Source organism: Homo sapiens, chromosome 1 (assembly GCF_000001405.40).
Source record: "Homo sapiens chromosome 1, GRCh38.p14 Primary Assembly".
In the NCBI taxonomy this organism is placed as follows: domain Eukaryota; kingdom Metazoa; phylum Chordata; class Mammalia; order Primates; family Hominidae; genus Homo; species Homo sapiens.
Window position 1 is genome coordinate 2,012,182 of NC_000001.11, and position 23,390 is coordinate 2,035,571.

Below are 23,390 nucleotides of genomic sequence, written 5' to 3' on the forward strand. Positions count from 1 at the left end.
AATCCCAGCACTTTGGGAGGCTGAGGCAGGAGGGTTGCTTGAACCCAGGAGTTTGAGGCCAGCCTGGGCAACGTAGTGAGATGCTATCTCTATTTAACAAAATAAAATAAAATAAAATAAAATAAAATAAAAATTTTTAAAAAGCTGGGCATGGTGGCTCACTCCTGTAATCCCGGCACTTTGGGAGGCTGAGGCGGGTGGATCACTTGAGGTCAGGAGTTCAAGACCAGCCTGGCCAACATGGCAAAACCCCGTCTCTACTAAAAATACAAAATTAGCCGGGCGTGGTGGTGCCAGCCTGTAATCCCAGCTACTCAGGAGGCTGAGGCAGGAGAATCATTTGAACCTGGGAGGTGGAGGTTGCAGCGAGCCAAGGTCTCGCCACTGCACTCTATCCTGGATGACACAGTGAGACTCTGTCTCAAAAAAAAAAAAAATTAAAGAAAAGAAAGTGCATGTTAAACCCACAATGACATACCTCCACACAGTCATAAAATGGTCAAACTTAAAGACTTCCAATGTCAAGTGTTGATCAGCATTGGAGCAACTTAAACTCTCACATACTACTGCAGGGAGTACAAAGTACAGCCACTTTGGAAAGCAGATTGGAGGCCAGGTGCGGTGGCTCATGCCTGTAATCCTAGCACTTTGGGAGGCTGAAGTGGGCGGATCACCTGAGGTCAGGAGTTCGAGACCAGCCTGGTCCAACATGGTGAAACCCCATCTCTACTAAAAATACAGAAATTAGGCGGGTGTGGTGGTGTGCGCCTGTAATCCCAGCTACTCGGGAGGCTGAGGCAGGAGAATCTCTTGAACCCGGGAGGCGGAGGTTGCAGTGAGCCGAGATCACGCCACTGCACTCCAGCCTGGGTGACAGAGTGAGACTCCATCTCAAAAAGATAAAAAGAAAGAAAGAAAAGAAAGCAGATTGGCAGCTTCTTACCAACTTAAACATACAGTCCCCTTGAAACCCAGTAATCCCACACATATTTATTCAAAAGAAACGAAAACATGTGTCCATACACAGACTTGTATTTAAATGTTAAAAGCAGCTTTACTCATAATAGCCCAGAACTGCATATGTCCCAGAGCTCATCAACAGGTAGACAGTTAAACAAACCGAGGTGTGAGCATGCAATGGAATGAAATATTACTCGCAATAAAAAATCCACCGTTGACATGCACAACGGCATGGGTGGCCCTACAGAGTGTTGAGCTGAGAGAAGGCAGACACGAACGACGGCTCTGCTAGAAATCCACTACCACACGAGTCACTGCGACACACAGCAGCTTAAAACAGTGTTTATCATCTCAGCTTTTGTAGGTCTGGGTCCCGGCTCAGTCTCCCTTACAAAGCTGCAGTCCGACGTCAGCCAGGGTCACGGTCACCTCCAGGCTCAGCTGTGGCAGCATCCCAGGGTGGCTGTTGGAGTGAGTTCCCTGCTGTCTTGGGGGTGGTGGAGGGGTCTGGCTCTCATGGCTGCCTTCAGTTCCTGGCCCATGAACCTCCCCACCTCAGCAGCAACCCAGCACTGGCTTCATCAAAGTGAGTAGGGGCGACAGTGCCCTGAGACCTGAATCACGGCATTTTATAAATGAATCTCAGGATGCCTCATCACTCTTTTTATTTAACTTTTATTTTTTTTCAAGATGGTGTCTAGCTCTGTCACCCAGCCTGGAGTGCAGTGGCACGATCTCAGCTCACTGCAATCTCTGCCTCCCAGTTCTCCTGCCTCGGCCTCCTGAAGAGCTGGGATTACAGGCGTGTGCCACTGTGCCCGGTTGATTTTTGCATTTTAGTAGAGATGGGGTTTTACCATGTGGGCCAGCTGGTCTCGAACTCCTGACCTCAAGTGATCCGCCCACCTTGGCCTCCCAACGTGCTGGGATTACAGGTATGAGCCACTGCACCCTGCCTTTTTATTATTTGTTTTAGAAACTGGGTCTCAGTCTGTTGCCCAGGTTGGAGTGCAGTGGTGCGATCACGGCTCACTGCAGTCTCCACCTCCTGGGTTCAAGCGATCCTCCCACCTCAGCCTCTGGAATACCTGGCTAACTTTTTTTCTGTAGAGACAGGGTCTCCCTATGCTACCCAGGCTGGTGTCAAACTCCTGGGCTCAGGAGATCCTCCCGCCTCAGCCTCCCACAGTGCTGGGATCACAGGTGTGGCCATCGTGCCCGGCCCATCACTCTTTATGGATGAGAACAACACACTGCTTGGTCCAGACGACATGTGAGGAGGAAGGCCACGCCACACCAGGGGTAGGGATCGTGGGGAGCCCTGGGAGAAGGCTGCCAACCCACCTTCCTGCTGGACGGTCCCGTTAATGAGCTGCCGCGAGTTCCATTCGCGGCCAGATCTTGTCTCCCCAGCAGCCCACTTTAGGCGTCTTCGTGCCGTTGCCTCAGTCGTGCTTGTATCTAAAAGTAGGACGTGTTTGTCACTTGATCGACAGCCCTTTTGTTAGAAACGTTACTTTGTGTTTAAGGTTTTCTATCGCACGAAATAATTCAAATTGCCACTTTAAAAAACATAGAACACGAGAATAGAATACCGACTTCTCCACATTAAAAACGAGTAATGGTTCTTGGATATCTATTTAACTCAAGTATAGAAAAAATGTTCTAAGCGGCCAAGCTGGGTTGTTCATTGGTTCTCAGGGCCTGGATGGCTAAAGACAGCTACTCAGCTAAGCGTGGTTTCCGACTGAACTGCATCCTTTGTTTCAGTAGACGGCCGGTCTCAGGCTGCTACACGTATTTTGCATTTGGTCGTTTCTGCCAAATTTCCTCTGCTTATCCACATGAACGGAGTCCGTCTGAAAATCACAGGATTAATAATTACCACCTAACTCGATAACGTTCTTCTCTGTGTCCCTGCCATTTTCTCTGTTTGGTGCATTTCCCCAGGAAAGTAACAGAACAACCTCACAAATACATCAGGAAGGAGGTTTAAATTTAGCGAGCGCCGTTTCCTCTCCCAGGTCCCGGTGACTCACCTCCACCTCCCAGGGCTGTCCTGCTGCTGCGGAGCTGCAGCAATGGACGGGGGCCAGCTCCCTGCCCACGCCTCGGACTCTAGGCCGTCCCTTCCCCTGCGCTGTGGGCATCTGAGCATCCGGCAAGGTGTCAGTCCAAAAGAAACAATGTAAGTGGGCTGCAGGCTGGCATCTGAATACCCACCTCAACCCGCAGACCACACTTCCGTGGCTTTCTGTGTGCTCCATAGGACATTGGTGTCCAGGGAAGAACCGAGTCAGTGACTCCCAGGGCTAACTAACGGGTAGGATGTTCATTCCTTCCAGAGCCAAAGGTGCACGTTCTGCTCCGTGCCATATGGGGAAAGTGTAACGCCTCCCAGCACTGAGCAGAAGGAAGAGGCAGCAGCTATTGCCCTGAGCACCCACCCAAAGGGCTCTGGATGGATCCTCCCCGATGGAGAAGCAGTTCCACGTGTCCAGGAAGCAGGAAGAGCGCTGTGAAGGAATACTGGGTGTGTAGGGATCAAGGGCTCTGGGTGTGAAGTCTGAGCTGCTTTCTCGTGACTGTTCCCACAATCTGGTGCTGGAGCCCCCTCGGTGTGCACTCTCAGTGGTGCCAAGACAAGGAGGTGGGTTTTGTTCAGGAGCCTGGGTAAGGAGCACACACCCCATCTCAAACGGGGAGACTTCCATTGATGGAGATCGGCCTTGTTACTGATTGTGAAAACCTCACCAGAGCCTCGTTCGGAGGGTGGGTTCTCCCACAGGACAGGAGATGGGGCATAACCTCCAGTATTCCCCAGAGAGCGGGCAGCCCAGGTCTCTGCAAAGTGGGTAGTCACTGTCAAACAAAACAACCTGAGACGCTTTCTAACAGAGTTCAGCACTTCTGACACTAAGAAAACCAATCACGACTCTCACCCTGTCATTTTGTAAAAGAAGAAAACAAAACTGGGAAATAACTTCGCTGAGGTCACACGGCCAGTTTGGAGCAGAGCTGGGACTGGCACCCAGACCTCTGACTCCTGGAGCTCTTCCCAGATTCTTGAAAGGGGCCAAGAAGTGAGCTGCTTCCATCTCATGGGCACAGAAACTCCCTGTCCTGGGGCTCACATCCACCAGGTGCCAGCCACACAGGCCCCAGTCACACAGGCCCCGGCTCCTGACCCCTGGGCCAGGCTGCTCCCCGGCTGGCCTTCCTGGTGCTGGCGTGGTCGGAGCTTCCCTGGGTGGAGGATGAGGCTAAGGAAGCCGACTGGTTATGCACATCACAATGGGATGGAAGTTCGGAAATGGCAACAAACTAATTCTCAAAAACCTTGAAAAAGAAATTATGAAAATTCCCGTTCTTCAGATCCAAACTGAAACATCAGTTAGGAGGCCGGGTGTGGTGGCTCACGCCTGTAATCCCAGCACTTTGGGAGGCCGATGTGGGCCGATCACTTGAGGTCAGGAGTTCGAGACCAGCCTGGCCAACATGGTGAAACCCTGTCTCTACTAAAAATACAAAAATTAGCTGGGCATGGTCGCAGGCGCCTGTAATCCCAGCCACTTGGGAGGCTGAGGCAGGAGAATTGCTTGAACCCAGGAGGTGGAGGTTGCAATGAGCTGAGATAGTGCCACTGCCCTCCGGCCTAGGCAACAAGAGCGAAACTCCATCTCAAAAACAAAAAAGAAAGAAAGAAAGAAAAAGAAAGAAAGAAAGAAAGACCAGTTAGGAACAATAAAGAATGGAAATGAAGTGTGCAGACTTCAAACCTTGCAGAAACCTGTGAATGATGGATGGGACATGCATTTGCCTCTAGGACTGAAGGAAGAGGAGACAATTTGATGCCACCAAACCACCAGATATTTGGCTAAGATGCCCGCCCAGCTTCAACTGACATACACACAACAGCACGACTTTCCAGCAAAAGTTCAACATTGGCTGGGCACGGAGGCTCATGCCTGCAATCTCAGCACTTTGGGAGGCCACGGGGGAGGATCCCTTGAGGCCAGGAGTTTGAGACCAGCCTGGGAAACATAGTGAGACCCCATCTCTACAAAAAATAGAAAATTATCTGGGTGCAGTGACATGCCTCTGTGGTCCCAGCTCCTCCAGAAGCTGAGGTGCAAGGATCCCTTGAACCCGGGAGGTGGAGGCTACAGTGAGCTGAGATCGTGCCACTGCACTCCAGCCTGGGCCACAGAGCAAGACCTTGTCTCTTAAAAGAAAAAGAAGAAAATTGAATGTTAATTTTATGCCCCAGATAATAGAGGAGCGTGAAGAAAATGGCAATAGGGTGTGGCTTATCCTGAATGAATCGGATCCAGTGAGTCAAGATCAACGCTGCTTCTCAGAGGTGATCAGCACCAAGATATCCTCAGATAAGCTCTTCGCAGATATTGAAGGGATTGCGACCATGAACCACTCTCACTGCTTAGTTCCAAAGCTCAGGAAGGAAAGACAGGGAGGGCGGGGCACTGTCCGGAGGCAGTGATGGCGTGCTGGCCGCAGTGGGTGCATGGACTTTGCAGATGTGGAGTCTGCACCTCCTCCTACATTTGCTGAGCACCTACTTCATCCAATACACCACCAAGGAGAAGACGGACAAGACCCCTGTTCTGGAGGGGGAAGAATAAAAATAATGCCTCTCACCGGGGGCCGGGCCAAGCTCTGGGCACCTCTTCATGAATTAACTCCTAAATTAATCCATGGAAGGGACACGTGGGAAGGGGCACGTGTGCAGAGCACAGGCTCGGACAGGAACCCCGGGAACACAGGGAGGTCAGTGCTTCTGTACCCAAAGGACCCCTCTCGGCAGGGGCCAGTGAGCAGCCGGGAAGGGGGCCTTGGAGTTGAGACCTGTTGGGCTTGTTAGAGCCCCGTTCCTTGATTTAAGAAAGCAGGCTAGGGCTGGGTGCAGTGGCTCACGCCTGTAATCCCAGCACTTTGGGAGGCCGAGGCGGGCGGATCACGGGGTCAGGAGTTCGAGACCAGCCTGGCCAACATGGTGAAATTCCGTCTGTACTAAAGATACAAAAAAATAACCGAGCGTGGTGGCAGGTGCCTGTAATCCCACCTACTCGGGAAGCTGTGGCAGGAGACTTGCTTGAACCTGGGAGGCAGAAGTTGCAGTGAGCCGAGATTGTGCTCCAGCCTGGGTAACAGAGCCAGATTCCATCTCGAAAAATAACATAACATAACATAACATAACATAACATAACATAACATAACATAACATAACATAAATAAAGCAAGCAAACTGGAACCAGCCTCATTCTTCCACTTCCCACAGTAGGGATTGGGCTGGAAATTCCGAAGCAAATCCCTCTCTGCACTTTCCTCCACCTGCCCCTGTGCGGCCAGGGCCCTTCATCCAGAAGCACGCAGCCTCGGGGACAGCTTCGCCATTTTTAAGTGTTTTCACGAGGGGTTGACACTGTGCTGTCAGCGACATCGCGAGCCCAGAAGTGAATAACTGACACAACAATGATTAAAGTTTGTGAGCAGCTTCAGGAAATGGCAGCGCAACTTTATGTTCAAAAGATCCAAGGCAGGAGAGTGTGAGGCCTTCCCTTTCCCAGATCCTAGGGGTGTGGAGGGCGGGCCTGGGGCCATGAGAGGTGTGGAGAGTCAGAACTGCGGCCTGCGGCGCAGCCCCCACCTGCTTTTCCTCTCCCCGCCCCCGTCGAGGGTCCCCAGGGATCAGGACTTGCTCCCAAAGTCGCCTGGCCCCAGCTCCCGCGAAGGCAGGAGGGTTTTGGAAGCAGCCGCTGGTGGGGGTCTCTCTCCTGACAGCTGCAGGGACTGGCCCCCTCCCCACCCACCGCCGGCGCAGCCAGAAGCAGCCACGCAGACGTGCGACCCCCCACAAACCGCCTCGGGACGAGGTTCTGCCGCGCCCGTGGGCCACAGTGTCCACGCGGGGCTTGTGCCGGTGTCGCCTCCCATGAAGACACCCGGAGGGTCCCGTCTGCGGCGCGTGAGGGCAGCGGTCCCGGAGAGCCAGACCCCGGCCAGGGAGAGCTGCCCGCGAGGGAGGGGGCGCGGCTGGCGGAGGGGGGCGGGATGGGGCGGGGGGCGGGGGGAGGAGAGGGGAGCGGCGGGCGGGGCCGGGCTGCAGGGAGCGGCGGGCTGGGGCGGGCTCGGGGCGGGCTCCGCGCTCCGTCCGCCCCCTCGCGCCCGCGCCGCGCTCGCTCAGCTCCCGCCCGCCTGTGCCGCCTGTGCGGCCGCCGGGAGCCAAGTTTGCGCGGACCCCGTCCCGAGCCCGCCGCGGCCATGGACGCGCCCGCCCGGCTGCTGGCCCCGCTCCTGCTCCTCTGCGCGCAGCAGCTCCGCGGCACCAGGTGAGCGGGCGGGGTCCGCGCGGCGCGGGGTCGGGGGCGGTGGGGGGCCCGCGTCGGCCCGAGATAGCGGCTGGGAGAGCGGCCGGCGCGAGCCCCGGGCCCCGGACCCCAAGTCTGAGAGCCCCGCGTCCTCCCTCCCCGGGGTCTTGCCCCGCGGGCCCCTCGTTGGACTCGCCCGGACGCTGCCCTTGGGCTCGGGACGCGGCGACCCCCGCGCTGGCCGCCCCCGCCCGGTGCTGTCCGCCGTCCTGGTGCTGAACCTGGGCTGGGCGAGGGCGTCGGAGCCTCCCGGTTCCCCTGCTCCGCGGCGCGCGTGGAGGGTCCCCGGGTCCGCGGCACTCGCGGGTCCCTGCCCGGCGGGTGCCTTGAGGAGAGGAAAGACCTGAGAACTCGGTGCGGGGAGGCTGCTCCCTTTGCGGGGGAGCCGTTCCCCGTTCCCCCAGTGAGCTTCCCCAGCCGGAGGGTCTGGGACGGACGGAGGAGGCTGTCTCGCTGTGGAGGGTGGGCCCGGCCTCCGGGGTCTCCTTTCAGAGTCCGTTTCAAATGGCGTGGGCAGAACTCCTGAGTGTGTGCAGGTGGACGGCGGCCAGGTGCCCCTGGCCACAGAAAAGAGATGGTGGATTTCTTAACTATTTTGGGAGGGACTCCCCAGAGAAGGAAGAGGCTGAGAAGGAGGCCCCCCGGGGCTGGAGCCCCCTCTGGCCTACAGTGCCCCCCCATCTCCTCTCTGGGGATCTGAAATGGGCTCCTCAGCCACCCAGGCAACTTGGCCCCACCACGGGGCCTGGCTGGCCGCCTTCCCTAGGAGTCACGAGAGGACATTTAGGGGCGTCTTTGAAAATCACCTCAGTGCAAAGACTGCAGAAGAAACAGCAAAGAGCCATCCCCCAGCATTCAGGATCTCAGAGACCGTGAAGATGTAGATATAGAGGTGGCTGACCGTAGTAGAGATGGCAGCACCCAACACGGGGCGGTGTGTCAGAGTTTTCCCATTGGAGGTGCGGGGGACAGAGCCCAGAAGGCCTGGGTCCAGCTGCAGCCGTGTGCCCATCAGGAGACCGCGGGGTCGGCACTGCCCCTGGCTCTAAGCAGCCCGTGTCCTGGGAAGAGCTTTGTTCTTCCATCAATCCCAGTGGGCCTTTCTCCCTTTGTCCTTCCCCTCCTTCAAGGTGAGAGGAAGGACGAAGCTCGGGGCACAGTTGTGGATGCTGTGCTGGAGCCATGGGGACAGCTGCCAGCCCAGGCCCACGGCCACTTAGCCAAGAGGCTGAAATCCAGACGGCTCTGAAACCCCAAAGTTTTAGCCCAAGTTCGACACCAGAATTCAGTTGGCAGCAAGTCCCGTCCCGCATGGACGTGAGACTCTTCTCATCTTTATTAATCCTACTTCTGGGATTATTTATATACACTTCCTGCTGGGAAATTCTTCAGGCCGCCCCCAGCCACAGCCTCTGTGTCCACCATTTCCCTGCTCTAAAATCTGAAGATCCTTAATCCTGGCCTGCATCTGGCTCCTGGGCTGACGGGGAAGGGATTCTGTGCCTGTTTCCTTGGGCAGGAAAGCTGGAAGGCCACGGCCCAGCCAGGAGTGGGGGGCCTCTGGGCCTGCAGTCACTCCCATCCCTGGAAGAGGGGTGCCGTTGGGGAGGACACCTTGCCTGGTGAGAGGTGCACTGCTTTGCTCAGCTCCCCTTTCGCTCTCTAGTTAAAAACAGTTACCACCTGGCTGCATGCTGCAGCCTCTCCTTTGAGGTCATCCTGTCCACACACATGTGCTGGGCTCAACCTCCTGCTCTTGGCGTCTAGGGGCAGGCCTGGAGGGTCTCCCCAGGGTGGAAGCACCTGCCAACTCAGCCCTAGGGGCCACCTTCAGACTTAGCGGGGTGCTGTCCATGAAGGGCCTCTCTGTATCTGTGCCCCTACACTCCAGAAACCAGGACAGCCGCCCTCCCTTCCCTCAGTCTCGGGGTCCTTGTCCTGGAGCTGTATTGGACGTCAGTGGGACCCATTCTGGCCATTACCCCAGGTCCCCATTGCAGCAGCTCCTCATGGGAAAGGCTGGGTGGGATAGGAAGGGAGTGTGCTGCGTGGCGGCCGTGGGTCGGCCCGGAGTGTGAAGACCCGTGCACGCGGCAGGCACCGAGCTTGCCGACTGCATGCCCGCGTGGGTGGCCCTCCCGGGCTGCCGGCACCTCCGTCTCCCTGGAGAAGCTGTGCTGCGGCTCCTACCGTGCCAGCTCGCGGTGCGCTGGTGGCGGTGCTCCTCTTCGCCTTGGTAACTGCAATGCTGGGAGGCTTGAGCTGCTCTAAAAGCAGGGCTGTGGGATATGTGGGCTGGGTGTGCGCCGTGGAGAAGCCTGCAGGGGGAGGATCCCAGCTACATCTACCTTCCCTGTCTGTCCCCAGGGCGCAGACAAGTGACAGGGATGGGTTTGTTTTTCAGTGGGGCCAGGAGGGCAGGAGGCCAGGTGACCCATGGAGAGCCACCCGAGGGGGAAGCTGCCATGTCTTCATGGTGCCCACTCTGCCCCCTGAGTTTGGAGTCCTAAATCTGAGTGTAGACTTGGAGCCTGGTGTGTAGCCCTGAGCCTCTCTGTCCATCCACCCACAGGAAACCCCAAGCTCAGGCCACCACTGGGCCCCAGGGCCACCAGGTGAGGCAGCAGCCCTCTCCCGAGGTCTCCGTGACATACCAGAGTCAGGACAGCCCCACCCTGTGCCTATCTCCGCTGGTGCAGGCTGTGTTCCCCCAGCCCCCGCTAGATCTGCCTCCCTTGTACATCCTGACCTGAGGAAGTGAGGGGCCCTCCAGACCCCAGAGTCTGGCATGAAGCGCACGCCCCCGCACTCTGGCCCTTCCCATCTGTTCACGGTGGGAAAACGACCGGGGGCTCTCCTAGGTGAGAAATGGCGTGGGGGTGGGAGCCTGCTTCCTTCTCGCCCCCAGGAGATGGCAAAGGTGCCTCCAGGTGAGCTTCGTGGCGGGGGCTGCTCCTGGCCTTGCCTTCGTGCCCCCCCACATGTGCCACCACCCTGAGATGGGCAAGAGATGTGGCCCAGGAAGGACGGTGTCTCCTGTGGCCTCATTCCAGGCAGGCTAGATGGCAGCTGGGCTGGTCCAAAAATAAAGCCTCACTAGAGCCCTTTGCGTCCGACCTTCAAGGCAACTGCCATTTGCATTTTTAATTGGCCGGGACTTAATTTGATTCCATCTTATACTTTGTTACCAAAGTGCCTGCTCCTCCTTAGCCCTGTGCCGGGCCACTCCTGGGGGTCCCGTGGGCGCGGGGTCCTGGGTCTGGATGGACAGCAGCCCTGGATGCTGCCTCCAGCTGGCTCCTGCCAGAGTTGGGCCACCACAGTCGTCCAGGACAGATTGGGGTTGGCAGAATCTGGTTAGCTAAGGAACGTTTGGTTCAAAGTCCAAATCTTTGAAAGGCCAGTGTGTAAAACAAGAAGAAAAGTGGTTCTGATGGAAAGGGAGAGGGCCTCAGCCCCCGACCCCGCTGCTGCTGCCTCCCAAACCCCGGTGGTCCTCAGGGGGCCCAGGACGCACCTGAGGATAAAGTGTATGGAGCAGAGTCAAGGCTGGATGCAGGGAGAGGCAGGGAGAGTGTCCACCTCCCAGCATCCTTCCCAGTGTTTCTCTGGAATTGCGGGTTTAAGATTTGGACCTGCTCATGCAGCTCCCCGGCTGGACTTAGCCTGAGGCACCAGACCTCTGTGCCCTGCCCCTTGCCTCTCCCTTGGGAATCCAAGGACTCAAGAGGGCTGGAGCCGGAGAGACAGACAAGCAGAGTAGGCTGCAGGTGATCTGTGTGGGGCACTGGGAGGGTGCTGCACGGGGTGGGGCTGGTGGCCCGGCCTCAGCTTGACTGTGCCAGACAGGCAGTGTGGAGGGGTGCCTCGAGCCCAGGTCGCAGTCTCTGAGGGAGCAGGAGGCCAAGGGCTGTGGCCCCCACCGTGAGGAGGGGAGGGGCAGTCAGTTGCGTCCTGGGGAGCCAGGCGTGGAGGAGGCCTGGGACTGTGCTCTTCTCTTGGTGGCCTGTGGAGTAGCCCAGCATAGGGCACCCGCTTGAGGCTGTATCTGAACTGGGGTCAAATCTGTCTCTAGGCTTGCTGTGGGGGAGGCCACTGACTCAGGTCCCGGCCCCTCAACTCTCCTGGAGGGCTCGGGCCAGGCTCGGGCCTGGCGACCTGGAGGACATGTCTGAAGCCACCCCCTTGGATAGAAATGATTCTGAGAATACAGGGGGGTTAATCTCAAGGCCCCACCCCTGGGACCAATCCCCATCCTGTGTGCAGGAGGACAGGTATGACAATCACCACAAACTGGACGGCTTGAAACAACAGACGCCTATTCTCTCGCAGCTCGGGAGGCCAGGAGCCTGAAATCAAGGTGTGGGTGGGGCTCGTTCCCCTGGAGGCTCTGAGGGAACCTCCGTCCCTGGCCTGTCTCCAGCTCCGGCGGTGGCTGGAAACCCTGGCCTCCCCTGGCCTGTGGACGCCTCACCCCAATCTCTGCCTCCTCTGTCCCCAGGCTTCTTCCCTCTTCTCTTCTAAGGACACCAGTCCTTGGGTTTAGGGCCCACCCAATCCAGTATGGCCTCATCTTAACTAATTACCTCTGCAAAGACCTTATTCCCAAATAAGCTCACATTCTGAGGCTCTGGGTGGATGTGCATTTTGGGGGACGCTGTTCAACCCAGTGCAGGTGAGCAGATGGGGGCCGGGGGGGTGCTGGGGTGCTCTGGGCTCTGGCAGCATGGTGTGTATGGGGAGGAGATGCCTCCCTCAAGCCTGGGCGTCCCCATGGCCCTGCTGTCTACCCCGAGCTGCTCCGAGGTTGAGCTAAACCACAGAAGCACATGGCCATTTGGGGATCTGGAGCCCACCCTGGGCCTTCCTGGGAGGAGACAGAGAGTAGGAGGCTGTGGGCCCGGGTTTTGGGGCCCTGTCCTCTTCCTGTCCCTGCCCCTTGCCTCCTCCTCACATTCCTCTTCTCCAAACCGTCTAATGGGGGAAGCTTCGCCCTCAGAAGCCGACAGGGAGACCTCTTTGGTGAGGGACCCCAGGGGTGGAGACCCGAGGCCGGCCTCCGCGGGCTGGTTGAGGAGGGAGGCTGTTAGCCTGGGAGCTTGGCCCACGCTGGGGGGCTCTGTCCAACCCAGGGCCACCTCCCTCAAAGCCAGGAGGGCTAAGTGGGCACTGAGGCCGGAGGAGGAAGCCAGGTCAGGGCCAGTGGAAGAGGCTGAGGACCTCCCGGGGTTCCCTGTGTCCAGCCAGAGGCTTGGGGACTGGCCAGGCCCCCACCTGCAAGGGCTCCCACAGTGGCCCCCCATGCCCTGGCCCAGGTGCCCAGAACAGTGCTGCATCCCCAGGAAGGGACCCAGGCTCAGTGGAATTAAATTAAGTCCTGGCCTGTCTGACCGGTGGCTTTGCATCCCCAGAGCGATGAATGACATCGGCGACTACGTGGGCTCCAACCTGGAGATCTCCTGGCTCCCCAACCTGGACGGGCTGATAGCCGGCTACGCCCGCAACTTCCGGCCTGGCATCGGAGGTGAGGGGCGGTCCAGGCCCGGCAGGCAGGAGCCGCTGGAGCCCAGGCTAGGCCGTGGCTGTGTGGCCCACTGGGCTGTAGGCTGGCCTCTAGGCAAGGAAGCCTGGCTCTCCCCTGGGGGGCTCCATCAGAGCCAGGCCCCCACAGAGACAGCCAGGGAGGTGCAGCTTCTCAGGCCATGATGGCCGACTGCCTGTGACTGGGACCCCGGCAGGGTCCCATCGTGGCTCCCATGCTGGGCCGGCCTCAGTCCTTCTTAGTTCTGCTCTTTCCTTGCAGGCCCCCCCGTGAATGTGGCCCTTGCCCTGGAGGTGGCCAGCATCGACCACATCTCAGAGGCCAACATGGTAGGTGCCACCAGCCTCTGCCTCAGGCACGGTGGGTGCCCACAGCCTCTGCCCTGGGCTGCATGCCCCTGGGGGTGGAGCAAGGCTGACCCCCGGCCCCTGTGCCACCTCCACAGGAGTACACCATGACGGTGTTCCTGCACCAGAGCTGGCGGGACAGCAGGCTCTCCTACAACCACACCAACGAGACCCTGGGTCTGGACAGCCGCTTCGTGGACAAGCTGTGGCTGCCCGACACCTTCATCGTGAACGCCAAGTCGGCCTGGTTCCACGACGTGACGGTGGAGAACAAGCTCATCCGGCTGCAGCCCGACGGCGTGATCCTGTACAGCATCCGGTGAGCGGGCTGCCCACCCGGACTCCGGGGGAGAGCCTGCCCGGGCCAAGCGTCGGCGCCTGGACGCTCCAAGGCTTGGAAAAGCTCGAGCGGCTTCTGCTGCCGGGAGCTGGCGGGCGGGCGGAGGGGGGGGCAGAAGCTGCGCGGTTATTTATATCCCCCGCAGCTGCTGGGGAAACATCCGCTCCAAGGTCGCCGACAGGAAGCCGGCAGATGTGGCTTTTTGGCCAACACAGTGCCTTTTGGTTTTTAAAATGGGGTGGAATTCACATAACATAAAATTAACCTTTTTAAAGTGAACAATTCAGTGGCATTTGGCAGATTCGCCACGTTGTGCAACCCCACCTCTGTCTGGTCCAAAACATTTCAAGACCCCAAAAGGAGACCCAGCCACTGAGCAGGTGCTCTCCACTCCGCCCTCCCTGGAGCTCCAGCAGCCACCCGCTTGCTTTCTGTCTCTGTGGGTCTGCCCAGAGACAGAAACATTTCATCGAAAGGGAATCACATGCTGTGTGTGGGACCCTTTATGACTCCGGCTTCGTTACTCAGCATCACGTCCTCACGGTTCATCCCAGTGGAAGCCGGAGTCAGGGGCGCCTTCTTCTTCATGGCCTAGGCGATGGCCCACGGCAGGGGCGCGCCACACCTGCCTCCCATCCCTCTGCCGAGGGGCGCTTGGGTGGCTTCCGGCGTTGGCGAATGTGAAAACACTGCTATGAATGTGTGTGCGCGCATTTGTTTGAAAACCTGTTTTCAGACACATGCCTCTTAAAGATGGAATTAGTTCATGACACTTAAAAAATCAGGAGGCATGTGGCCGGATGCGGTGGCTCACGCCTGTAATCCCAGCACTTTGGGAGGCCGAGGTGGGTGGATCACGAGGTCAAGAGATCGAGACCATCCTGGCCAACATGGTGAAACCCCGTCTCTACTAAAAATACAAAAGATTCGCTGGGCGTGGTGGTGGGGGCCTGTAGTCCCAGCTACTCAAGAGGCTGAGGCAGGAGAATGGTGTGAACCCGGGAGGCAGAGCTTGCAGTGAGCCGAGATTGCGCCACTGCACTCCAGCCTGGGGACTGAGCGAGACTCCATCTCAAAAAAAAAAAACAAACAAAAAAAAGAAATCAGGAGGCAGCCGGGTGCAGTGGCTCACGCTTGTAACCCCAACACTTTTTGGAGGCTGAGGTGAGAGTATACTTGAGCCTGGGAGTTTGAGACCAGCCTGGGCAACATAGGGAGATCCTGCCTCTACAAAAATAATAAAAAACATTAGCTGGGCTTGGTGGTGTGCACCTGTGGTCTCAGCTACTCGGGAGGCTGAGGTGGGAGGATTACCCACCTCAAGCCCCGGGGGGTTGAGGCTGTAGTGAGTCAAGATTGCACCACTGCACTCCAGCTTGGGTGACAGAGTGAGACCCTGTCTCATAAACAAACAAAAACATCGGGATATTTTACATAGGAATTTAAATATTTGACCTCTCCTAGAAAATCAAGTGCGTGGCAACTCTGGGCCTATTCCCGTGTGTTCCTCAGCCATCGCTCGGGCCAGGGCCTGGGTGTGAAGGCTGTCCCCTGCCCCGTAGGCCCCCAGCCTAGTTCAATAGTCAAGCGTTTTGAAGAGAATGAATGAAATCCAGTTCTTGACGGTCCTAAAGGAATACTTGACGTCTATGAAGTTGAGCAGTTTCCAGGTTTACCTGGATTCTGGGCAAACACAGTCTGAGAAGTAGCTGGGGCTCCAGGCAGGTGCTCAGGGGGCATCTCTGCAGGGGAACTGCCAGGCTTTCGGGAGGGCTGGCCTCACCCCCAAGGCCTCACTGCCATGCTTGTCTTGGCAGAATCACCTCCACTGTGGCCTGCGACATGGACCTGGCCAAATACCCCATGGACGAGCAGGAGTGCATGCTGGACCTGGAGAGCTGTGAGTGGGTGTGCAAGGCGGGTAGGGGCTTCTCCAGCAGTGGATGGGGGCTCAGACTGTCAGCCCGGGGCCTGGACAAGGCTGGCCCGGCTCAGGATGCAGGAAAGCACCAAACCAGCTTCTGCATGCAAGAAGCCTGGGCAGGAGGAGAAGGGGCCAGAAAGCCTGGAGCAGTCTGGCTTGTGGGTCTGTGCCCTGCCTGGGGAGCCGGGCCATGGAGCCCAGACATGGCACGGATTGATATTGTTGAGCCAGTGCAGCAGCCCCTGTGTGTCACCTGACAACGGTGACCCCATCTGTGTCCCATCCACCTGCCCGGAGGAGCCCGACGTGGTCCCAGAGCCGAAGGTCTCCTCGCTCCTGGCTGGGGTCCTGCTCGGTCCCCATCACGATGGCGTCGGCCCCCTGCAGGCTTCCTGTGTGGACGGAGCGCTCCTGCCAGGGCTCCCGGGGCAGGGCCGGGCTCTGCCGCCCACCTGTGTGCTTTTCCTCCAGACGGTTACTCATCGGAGGACATCGTCTACTACTGGTCGGAGAGCCAGGAGCACATCCACGGGCTGGACAAGCTGCAGCTGGCGCAGTTCACCATCACCAGCTACCGCTTCACCACGGAGCTGATGAACTTCAAGTCCGGTAACATATGCCCGCCGCCCCTTCCGCATGTGCCCGCCGCCCCTTCCGCGCGCGCCCACCGCCCCTTCCGCGCGCGCCCACCGCCCCTTCCGCGTGCGCCCGCCTGTGGTTTTCATGCTTTTTAGTCAAGCGCCCGCAGGCCCCCAGGGCCTCTGGGGATGCAGCTGGGACGCTGCTGCCTTAGGAACTTGCTCATTGGCACCAGCTGCACCTGAACCAGGGCTTCCAGGCCTGCCATTGTGTGGGCGTGGGTCAGGCCTTCCCATCTCACTCCTTGGTCCTTTCTCTCTTCCCAGCACTCCAGATTTATGGGAAACCAGAGGGTGTGGGGAGCTCTCTTAGCCCCAGGTCTGCAGGGCTCAGGAGCCAAGCTTTCCTTGGCTACCTTGTCTCCCAGCCCCACTTTCCCACCCCTACGCACCCCGTCCCCGGTCATCCAGAGCCAGTGAGCCCAGTGCTGGCTCCTTCCAGAGCCTGGCTGTGCCCGCAGGAGTGTTAGGAGAGAAAGGGGTGAGCCCTCCCCATTGGTTGCGAGGGTCCCTCAGGGCCAGTCCAGCAAACATGAGGCCAGCAGTAACCTCAGCCTCTCTCCCTCTCCTCTGGGTGACACTGCTCAGGACCAGCCTGTCCTGTGGCCAGACCTAGGGCCGGAGGCCCCCTGACATTTCAGGCCATGTGGTTGGTGGGGAGGGCAGGGGTCTAAGTCTCTCTTCTGAGCCCTGGTGGGCCCCGTAGCTGCCAAGCCCTGCAGCCCCTGAGTCCCATGGTTGGGCTGGGCTGGGCAGGGATGGGGGCACTGACGGTGGCTGTCCTGGCAGCTGGCCAGTTCCCACGGCTCAGCCTGCACTTCCACCTGCGGAGGAACCGCGGCGTGTACATCATCCAATCCTACATGCCCTCCGTCCTGCTGGTCGCCATGTCCTGGGTCTCCTTCTGGATCAGCCAGGCGGCGGTGCCCGCCAGGGTGTCTCTAGGTACGGGGCCTCGCCGCTGCTCCGAGGGAGCTGGAAGGGCGGCCCTGGGGAACAGGACTCCCCATCCCTCGGCTGGGGGCTCAGCACTGGCCTCTGGACCATGCCAGCTGTCCTGGGGCAGTGGCCAGCCGGGCCAGGCCAGGTCAGGGAAACAGGACCTGCTCCCTGGGGTGGGCATGGGGGTGGGGGGCAGCGGACCCTCATCCGTGGGTCACAGGCATCAAGGCTGGGATGGGGCGGCGTGAGGGCAGGGCTACGACAATGGCACCACCTGTGCCCGGCAGGCATCACCACGGTGCTGACGATGACCACGCTCATGGTCAGTGCCCGCTCCTCCCTGCCACGGGCATCAGCCATCAAGGCACTGGACGTCTACTTCTGGATCTGCTATGTCTTCGTGTTTGCCGCCCTGGTGGAGTACGCCTTTGCTCATTTCAACGCCGACTACAGGAAGAAGCAGAAGGCCAAGGTCAAGGTCTCCAGGCCGAGGGCAGAGGTGAGGGCCTGGGGCCGAGCCAGGGACAGCACTGCTGGGGGCCCCAACCAGGACCCTTCAGCTGCCCCAGCCCACTGTGGGTCCCAGCTGTGCTCCCTGAGCGTGGGGGGCTGGAGCTGCTGGTCCAGGCGGGGCCCCCGCATGGGAACACCTGTGGTCCAGGGCCCTGGGAGCTGCACCCCAGTGCTCAGCCCTGTCTCCCCCACCGGCCTTCGTGCAGATGGACGTGAGGAACGCCATTGTCCTCTTCTCCCTCTCTGCTGCCGGCGTCACGCAGGAGCTGGCCATCTCCCGCCGGCAGCGCCGCGTCCCGGGGAACCTGATGGGCTCCTACAGGTCGGTGGGGGTGGAGACAGGGGAGACGAAGAAGGAGGGGGCAGCCCGCTCAGGAGGCCAGGGGGGCATCCGTGCCCGGCTCAGGCCCATCGACGCAGACACCATTGACATTTACGCCCGCGCTGTGTTCCCTGCGGCGTTTGCGGCCGTCAATGTCATCTACTGGGCGGCATACGCCATGTGAGCACAGGACTCAGGCCACCCTCGCTTGTCCTGGCGCCCGGCGGCAGCTGCCCAGAAACTTCCTGGGAGAAAGAGCCCTCGGGCTGCCTTCCCCTCTGCGTGTTTCGAAGTGGGATGACAGTCGGCCACGGAAAACAAGAGGAAGCCTCGGCCTCCCTGAGCTCTGACCCCAGCCTCACCCGAAAGGCCAGCCTGGGGCTCTCCGGCAGGCAGCCCGAGACCTGCACAGATGAAGGAGCAGAGGTTCTGACCGAGAGGCTGAGCCAGGCCGGGGTCTGGGCCCTTCAGGGAGCCGCGGATTTTTATGTTCAGAAAGTGATCCTGGTTTCTAGGTCTTTGCTCTGCAGGATCGGGATCAGAGCGTGGGAGGAGGTGGGGGTGGACGTCCATCCGGTGAACAGTGAAGGCGTTTGTGAGGTCTTTCTGGTCCCAGCATGAAATAAAGCCTTGGCCTGGGGGCCGCTTCATTCTCCCTCACTGTGCTGCGCTTCACTCCTGGGGTGCCTGGAGCCCACCCCAGCTGCCCGGAACACCCTTCTCCAGCTGCAGGCTCCCTGGGCGGTGTTTGGGTGGGAGCTGATTGTGAAAGTGCAGAGAACACTCAGGGTTGAACATACACCTTGCCCAGGGGAAACAGTGGGTCGAGGTCCTGGGAAGGAGGCTGTCCTTGTCAGCAGGGCAGGCTTCGAGGGAAGAGCTTCAGGAAGTGATGAACCAGTTTTTGTGATGCTGGCTTCAGGCACTGGGTCTCCTCATCTATGTCCCCGCGCTGTGATGAGGCCATTTTCTCCAGGGGCGTGAGGCAAGATCCTGCGCCGACAGTGTGAGGGAGTGAGCTCAGGGTCACTGTCCCAAAGCCGGGAGCTTTTGAAGTGTCTTCCTGAGATCCTGGGGCTCAACACTAGACTTGGGAACAGAGACTTGGGGACACAGGGGCTCAGGGGCTGGATCCCAGATGAGCCATGTCTGGGGTACTGAGGGAGGGCTGAGGTGCAGAGGCCTGGAGGGGGCTAGAGGAGCTGCCACTCCCTTGGTCCCTGAGGCCTTTGGTCCAGTGGGTGTCCAGGGCTAGGTGCCACCATGGTCCCCTCTTGGATGTGAGGATAGACACATGGAGGCCACCGAGGCCTCACAAACACCACAGCCCTTTCCCACCTGCTGCCACTGCCACGGACATGGGGAGACCACCCTGCAGCCCAAGGACCCCCCCGGCCGTCAGAGCAGCTGACAGGCAGCTCTTAATGAGGGGTCCAGGTTTCACAGGGCACTGGGTCATTACTCGTGGAAGAATCTGAAGGGAGCAGTTGGAACAGCTGCTGGGGCTCTGCCATCCGCTGCAGGACCCAGGTGTCTGGGGCGCTACCATCCTCTGCAGGACCCAGGCATCTGGGGCGCTGCCATCCTCTGCGGGACCCAGGCATCCGGGGCACTGCCATCCGCTGCGGGACCCAGGCATCCAGAGCCATCACACGGCAGCTCGCAAGGTGGCAAAGTCGTCCAGGCCAGTGCCCTGTGGAATCAGGGTGGCCGCTAGCCCTGGGTGGCCCCCATCTCCATACCACTGGGGACCCGGGGATGACTGTGTGAATCACCTGTCCTCAGCACGGCCTGTGGCAGCCCTGGCAGGCTGAGCAAGCCGAGAAATCAAGTCATCACTGGGGCCCAGGCATTGCACCTGGGGATGGACACAGGCCAAGCTGCTTCCCCAAGGGCCAGGCTGTGCCCGAGAGCAGATGAGGGCACTGCCCACCATGGCCCAGACCACAGCCCCGTGTTCCACCTCTGGCCCCTGCTGGAAGGTCCCCCACGCCACTTCCTAACAACCACTCCTCATTTCCAGGCTGCCCTTTTGCGCCCCTGCTCTGCAGGACAAGGCTGTGAGGCTTGGCAGGGTCGTCCTGGGGGTGGGACAGGCTGGGGATGGAGGGGGTGGGACGGACCAGGCTCTGTTGTGGCCACAAGCGGCACACAGAACAGAAGTGAGCCCTGGGGCAAGCAGAGAGCAGGTGGCCGGGGAGCAGCAGAGCCGGATCTGGGTCAGCTGGGGCTCCAGGCCACCTCCCGACACCAAGGCGAGGCGGCTGAGCCTGCCAGCTCCCTGTCCAAGGACAGAGACACCCCTGCAGGGCCGGCTCTCACTGTCCCGCCTCCTACCCTCTGCTTCCTGGGCCTCCCTGCAGGGTTACCGCTCCCTCCTCCCTGGAGCTCACCTTGCTCTGGGGATAGGGGCCCAGGCCGCAGATGGCGCACGCTATAGCTATGGGCTGGGTCCCAGGCTGCCACCACTACCCACCCCAGGCCCCCAGGCTCCTGCCCCAAGGGCGGGCCTTCCACCCAGGGCAGCCAGGGAGGGTTGGCTCCAACTCCTGGGCCTTTGGGGGAAGGGGGTTGGTTCAAGATTCTGGGAACTATTTGGGGGCATCTCCTGGACCTGGAGGCTGTTGAGCCACCCCCCACCCCGCTCTCTGCTGTGAGGACCCTGGCCCCATCTCTGCCTTGTCCTCCTTGCGGCCGCAGGGTGCCCTCTTTCCCAGGCTTGTACCCACCAGGAGCTATTTAAAGCCAGCCTTTGCAACTGCCTCGGGCACCCACGCAGCCAGGCCCGCCCGGGCAGCAGCCGTGCCTGATTCTGCAACCAGCAATCACCCCCCCCACAAGCAGGCTGCTGTTTCTGCCCACATATTTACAGGGCCAGGAGGGACGGGAGGGCGCATGCTTTCAAACGCGACTTCTATTCTGGTAGTGAGGGCAGGAGCAGATGAAGGCGGGGGTGGGTCAGAGTTTGCAGCTGAGAGGAACCTGTTTGGGGAGGGGATGCCAGTGTTGCCCGCAACAGGGGGCACCTGCAGCAGAGATTGGTGGGCAGAGAGGCTGCCAGGGCTCCGTACACCCCCATCCCAGCAGAGACAAGTCTTTGGGGGCTGGTGGCTTCCTGGTCTCCGTGGAAGGCTGGACTGTGTACCATGAGCAGTGACCCCTGAGTGCCCTCTGAGAGTTGGGCCCACTCTTCCCTGAGGCTGGAGGCCGCAGGTGGAGCAAGAGGGGCCAGGACGTTGGGGACAGCATCCAGCTTCTCCGTCCCGTGGCAGAGTTGGGGCAGGCACCGGCCGTTACCCTGCCCCTCCCCTCCAGCGAGGCAGGCGGGTGCATAGGCCAAGCGGAGCTCACACCTAGGGGCGTCCTCATGTGGGTTCCCCTACAAACAGAGCCTGAGACAAGGACTTGGGTGCTGGGAGTTTATTTGGGGCTGGGGGTCTCCGCTGCCTAAACAAAGTACCACAAACCAGGTGCCTTAGAGTGACAGAATCTGTTCTCTCTGGAGCCGAATGTCCAAAATCAAGACGCTGCAGGGCTGGTTCCCTCTGGCAGCTCCAGGGAGGACCCTCCCCCGGCCTCCCTCCTGCTTCTGGAGTTGCCAGGAACCTCTGGCCCTCCTGGCCTGGCAGGTGCACTGCCCCAGTCTCTGCCTCCGTCTCTGAGTCATTCTGCTGTCTCTGTCTCTCCTCTTCTTCTCAGGCACCTGCCGTCGGATTTAGGGTCCACCCTACTTCAGTGCGGCCTTGTCTTAACTGCATCTTCAAAGACCCTAATTTGAAACAAGGTCAACATTCTGAGGTCCCGAGTGACTTTGGGAGCCATTTGGCTCCATAGAGAGGGTGATCCACAGAGGCAGGAGCTAGAGCAGGGAGCAGGGAGGGATGAGGAAGGAGGAAAAACAGGAATGGGCTTTACAATCTGGGACGGCCAGGTCCCAACCCCACTGGCGACCCTCTGCCCAGAGCCAAGGGGAATGTGCCTCCATATTGTCCTTTTAAATTTCTTTTTTAATTTAAAACAAAATTTTTAGTATAGATAGGGTCTCAATATGTTGCCCAGGCTGGTCTCGAACTCCTGGGGCTCAAACGATCCTCCTGCCTCAGCCTCCGAAAGCACTGGGGTTACAGACGTGAGCCACCCTGCCCAGCCTGAATTGTCCTTTTGAAGAATGAGGGGCTGCGCATTTATCCACCAACCCCCACCCAGCTCACATCCCCCAGGTCAGTCCTGCAAGCAAGCTGGGCAAGCGCCCTGTAGCGCTATGGAGGGCACTAGAGGCGGCACTGACCGTGAGTGAGTTTTTTTTTGTTTTTTGTTTTTTGTTTTTTTTTGAGATGGAGTCTTGCTCTGTTGCCCAGGCTGGAGTGCAGTGGCGTGATCTCAGCTCACTGCAACCTCTGCCTCCTGGGTTCAAGTGATTCTCCTGCCTCAGCCTCCCAAGTAGCTGGGACTACAGGCACGTGCCACCACACCCAGCTAATTTTTATATTTTTAGTAGAGACGGGGTTTCACCACATTGGCCAGGATGGTCTTGATCTCTTGACCTCATGATCTGCCCGCCTTGGTCTCCAAAAGTGCTAGGATTATAGGCATGAGCCACCGTGCTCGGCCATGAGCGAGTTTTTGTTTATTTGTTTGTTTGTTTTTTGAGACGGAGCCTTGCTCTGTTGCCAGGCTGGAGTGCAGTGGTGCGATCTCAGGTCACTGCAACCTCCACCTCCCGGGTTCAAGTGATTCCCCTGCCTCAGCCTCCCAAGTAGCTGGGATTACAGTCACGGGCCACCATGCATGGCTAATTTTTGTATTTTAGTAGAGACGGGGTTTCACTATGGTGGCCAAGAAGGTGTCAATCTCCTGACCTCATGATCTGCCCGCCTCGGCCTCCCAAAGTGCTGGGATTACAGGCGTGAGCCACCGCACCCGGCCATGAGTGAGTTTTATCCGCCCCCACAGCTGCTGCTTAAACCAGATGTAGCCCGAAGGGCGCAGCCCAGGCCCCAGAGCAGCTGGGAGCCCTGGCACTGCTTGCATCTGTTCCGGCGGATGCCATGTTAAGCTTGTCTGCGGCTGATTCTTCAAGGTGGTGGCAGCCAAAGCAAGAGAGACAGCCATGGAAGTCGTAGGGGGCTGGTGACGAGCCAGTCTGCAGGCATCTCCACGGCAGGAGGCCCTCCTCCTCCTCCACCCTGGCCCGCAGTCCTGCTGGCAGAGGTTACATCTGATGCGGCGACCCAGACCCCATCCGAGGAGTGAGCCTCGGTCACCGGCTTGTCAGGTGGATGTCAGTGTCATCGCCCACTCTGTGCCCCCGGCATGGAAGCCACAGGGGTGAATCCTCTGAGCTCCAGGCATTCTCCTCCCTGGCCCTACAAGTGCTCTCTTGTGCTAACCAGGTGTGGTGACCCCCGCCTGTGCCCACAGCCCACCAGCTGGGGGGCTCCAGAGGGAGCCTGACTTCCAAGCCTCTGTCCTT

The 23,390-nt window shown here is 59.2% G+C and overlaps 1 protein-coding gene and 1 long non-coding RNA gene across 5 annotated transcripts, besides 2 other annotated features; one reads left to right on the forward strand and one right to left on the reverse strand.

Moving 5' to 3' along the window:
- Positions 1-1,016: 1,016 nt before the first annotated feature.
- LOC105378589 (uncharacterized) lies at positions 1,017-5,907 on the reverse strand. 2 transcript variants are annotated; one of them, XR_001737843.3, is made up of 2 exons: positions 3,184-5,907; positions 1,017-2,819 (listed from the first exon to the last, which is right to left on the reverse strand). It is a non-coding gene; the product is annotated as an uncharacterized LOC105378589 (long non-coding RNA). The 2 variants fall into 2 exon arrangements; XR_001737844.3 differs by having other exon boundaries at positions 3,000-5,907.
- Positions 6,180-6,758: an enhancer, noted in NCBI's record as "H3K4me1 hESC enhancer chr1:1949800-1950378 (GRCh37/hg19 assembly coordinates)". NCBI's record gives its function as "activates a minimal SCP1, AML or CMV promoter by ChIP-STARR-seq in naive and primed H9 embryonic stem cells {active_cell/tissue: H9 hESC(naive and primed)}" and the evidence as "EXISTENCE:reporter gene assay evidence [ECO:0000049][PMID:30033119]".
- Positions 6,759-7,336: an enhancer, noted in NCBI's record as "H3K4me1 hESC enhancer chr1:1950379-1950956 (GRCh37/hg19 assembly coordinates)". NCBI's record gives its function as "activates a minimal SCP1, AML or CMV promoter by ChIP-STARR-seq in primed H9 embryonic stem cells {active_cell/tissue: H9 hESC(primed)}" and the evidence as "EXISTENCE:reporter gene assay evidence [ECO:0000049][PMID:30033119]".
- GABRD (gamma-aminobutyric acid type A receptor subunit delta) lies at positions 7,164-18,577 on the forward strand. 3 transcript variants are annotated; one of them, NM_000815.5, is made up of 9 exons: positions 7,164-7,310; positions 12,761-12,873; positions 13,153-13,220; positions 13,337-13,557; positions 15,396-15,478; positions 15,974-16,111; positions 16,930-17,085; positions 17,370-17,581; positions 17,802-18,577. In NM_000815.5, the coding sequence occupies exons 1-9, from the start codon at positions 7,243-7,245 to the stop codon at positions 18,099-18,101; spliced, it is 1,359 nt and encodes a 452-aa protein (NP_000806.2). In that variant the 5' UTR covers positions 7,164-7,242; the 3' UTR covers positions 18,102-18,577. The 3 variants fall into 3 exon arrangements, with proteins under 3 accessions (NP_000806.2, XP_011539496.1, XP_016856425.1); XM_011541194.4 differs by lacking the exon at positions 7,164-7,310 and adding an exon at positions 7,678-11,623; XM_017000936.2 differs by lacking the exon at positions 7,164-7,310 and having other exon boundaries at positions 7,679-12,873.

Excerpts from the sequence above, each read along its gene's own strand:
- GABRD (XM_017000936.2), top strand. The coding sequence starts at position 11,988 with ATGTGCATTTTGGGGGACGCTGTTCAACCCAGTGCAGGTGAGCAGATG. Across the intron at positions 12,874-13,152 it reads CTTCCGGCCTGGCATCGGAG|GCCCCCCCGTGAATGTGGCC; the intron begins GTGAGGGGCGGT and ends CTTTCCTTGCAG. Across the intron at positions 17,582-17,801 it reads TCTCCAGGCCGAGGGCAGAG|ATGGACGTGAGGAACGCCAT; the intron begins GTGAGGGCCTGG and ends GCCTTCGTGCAG.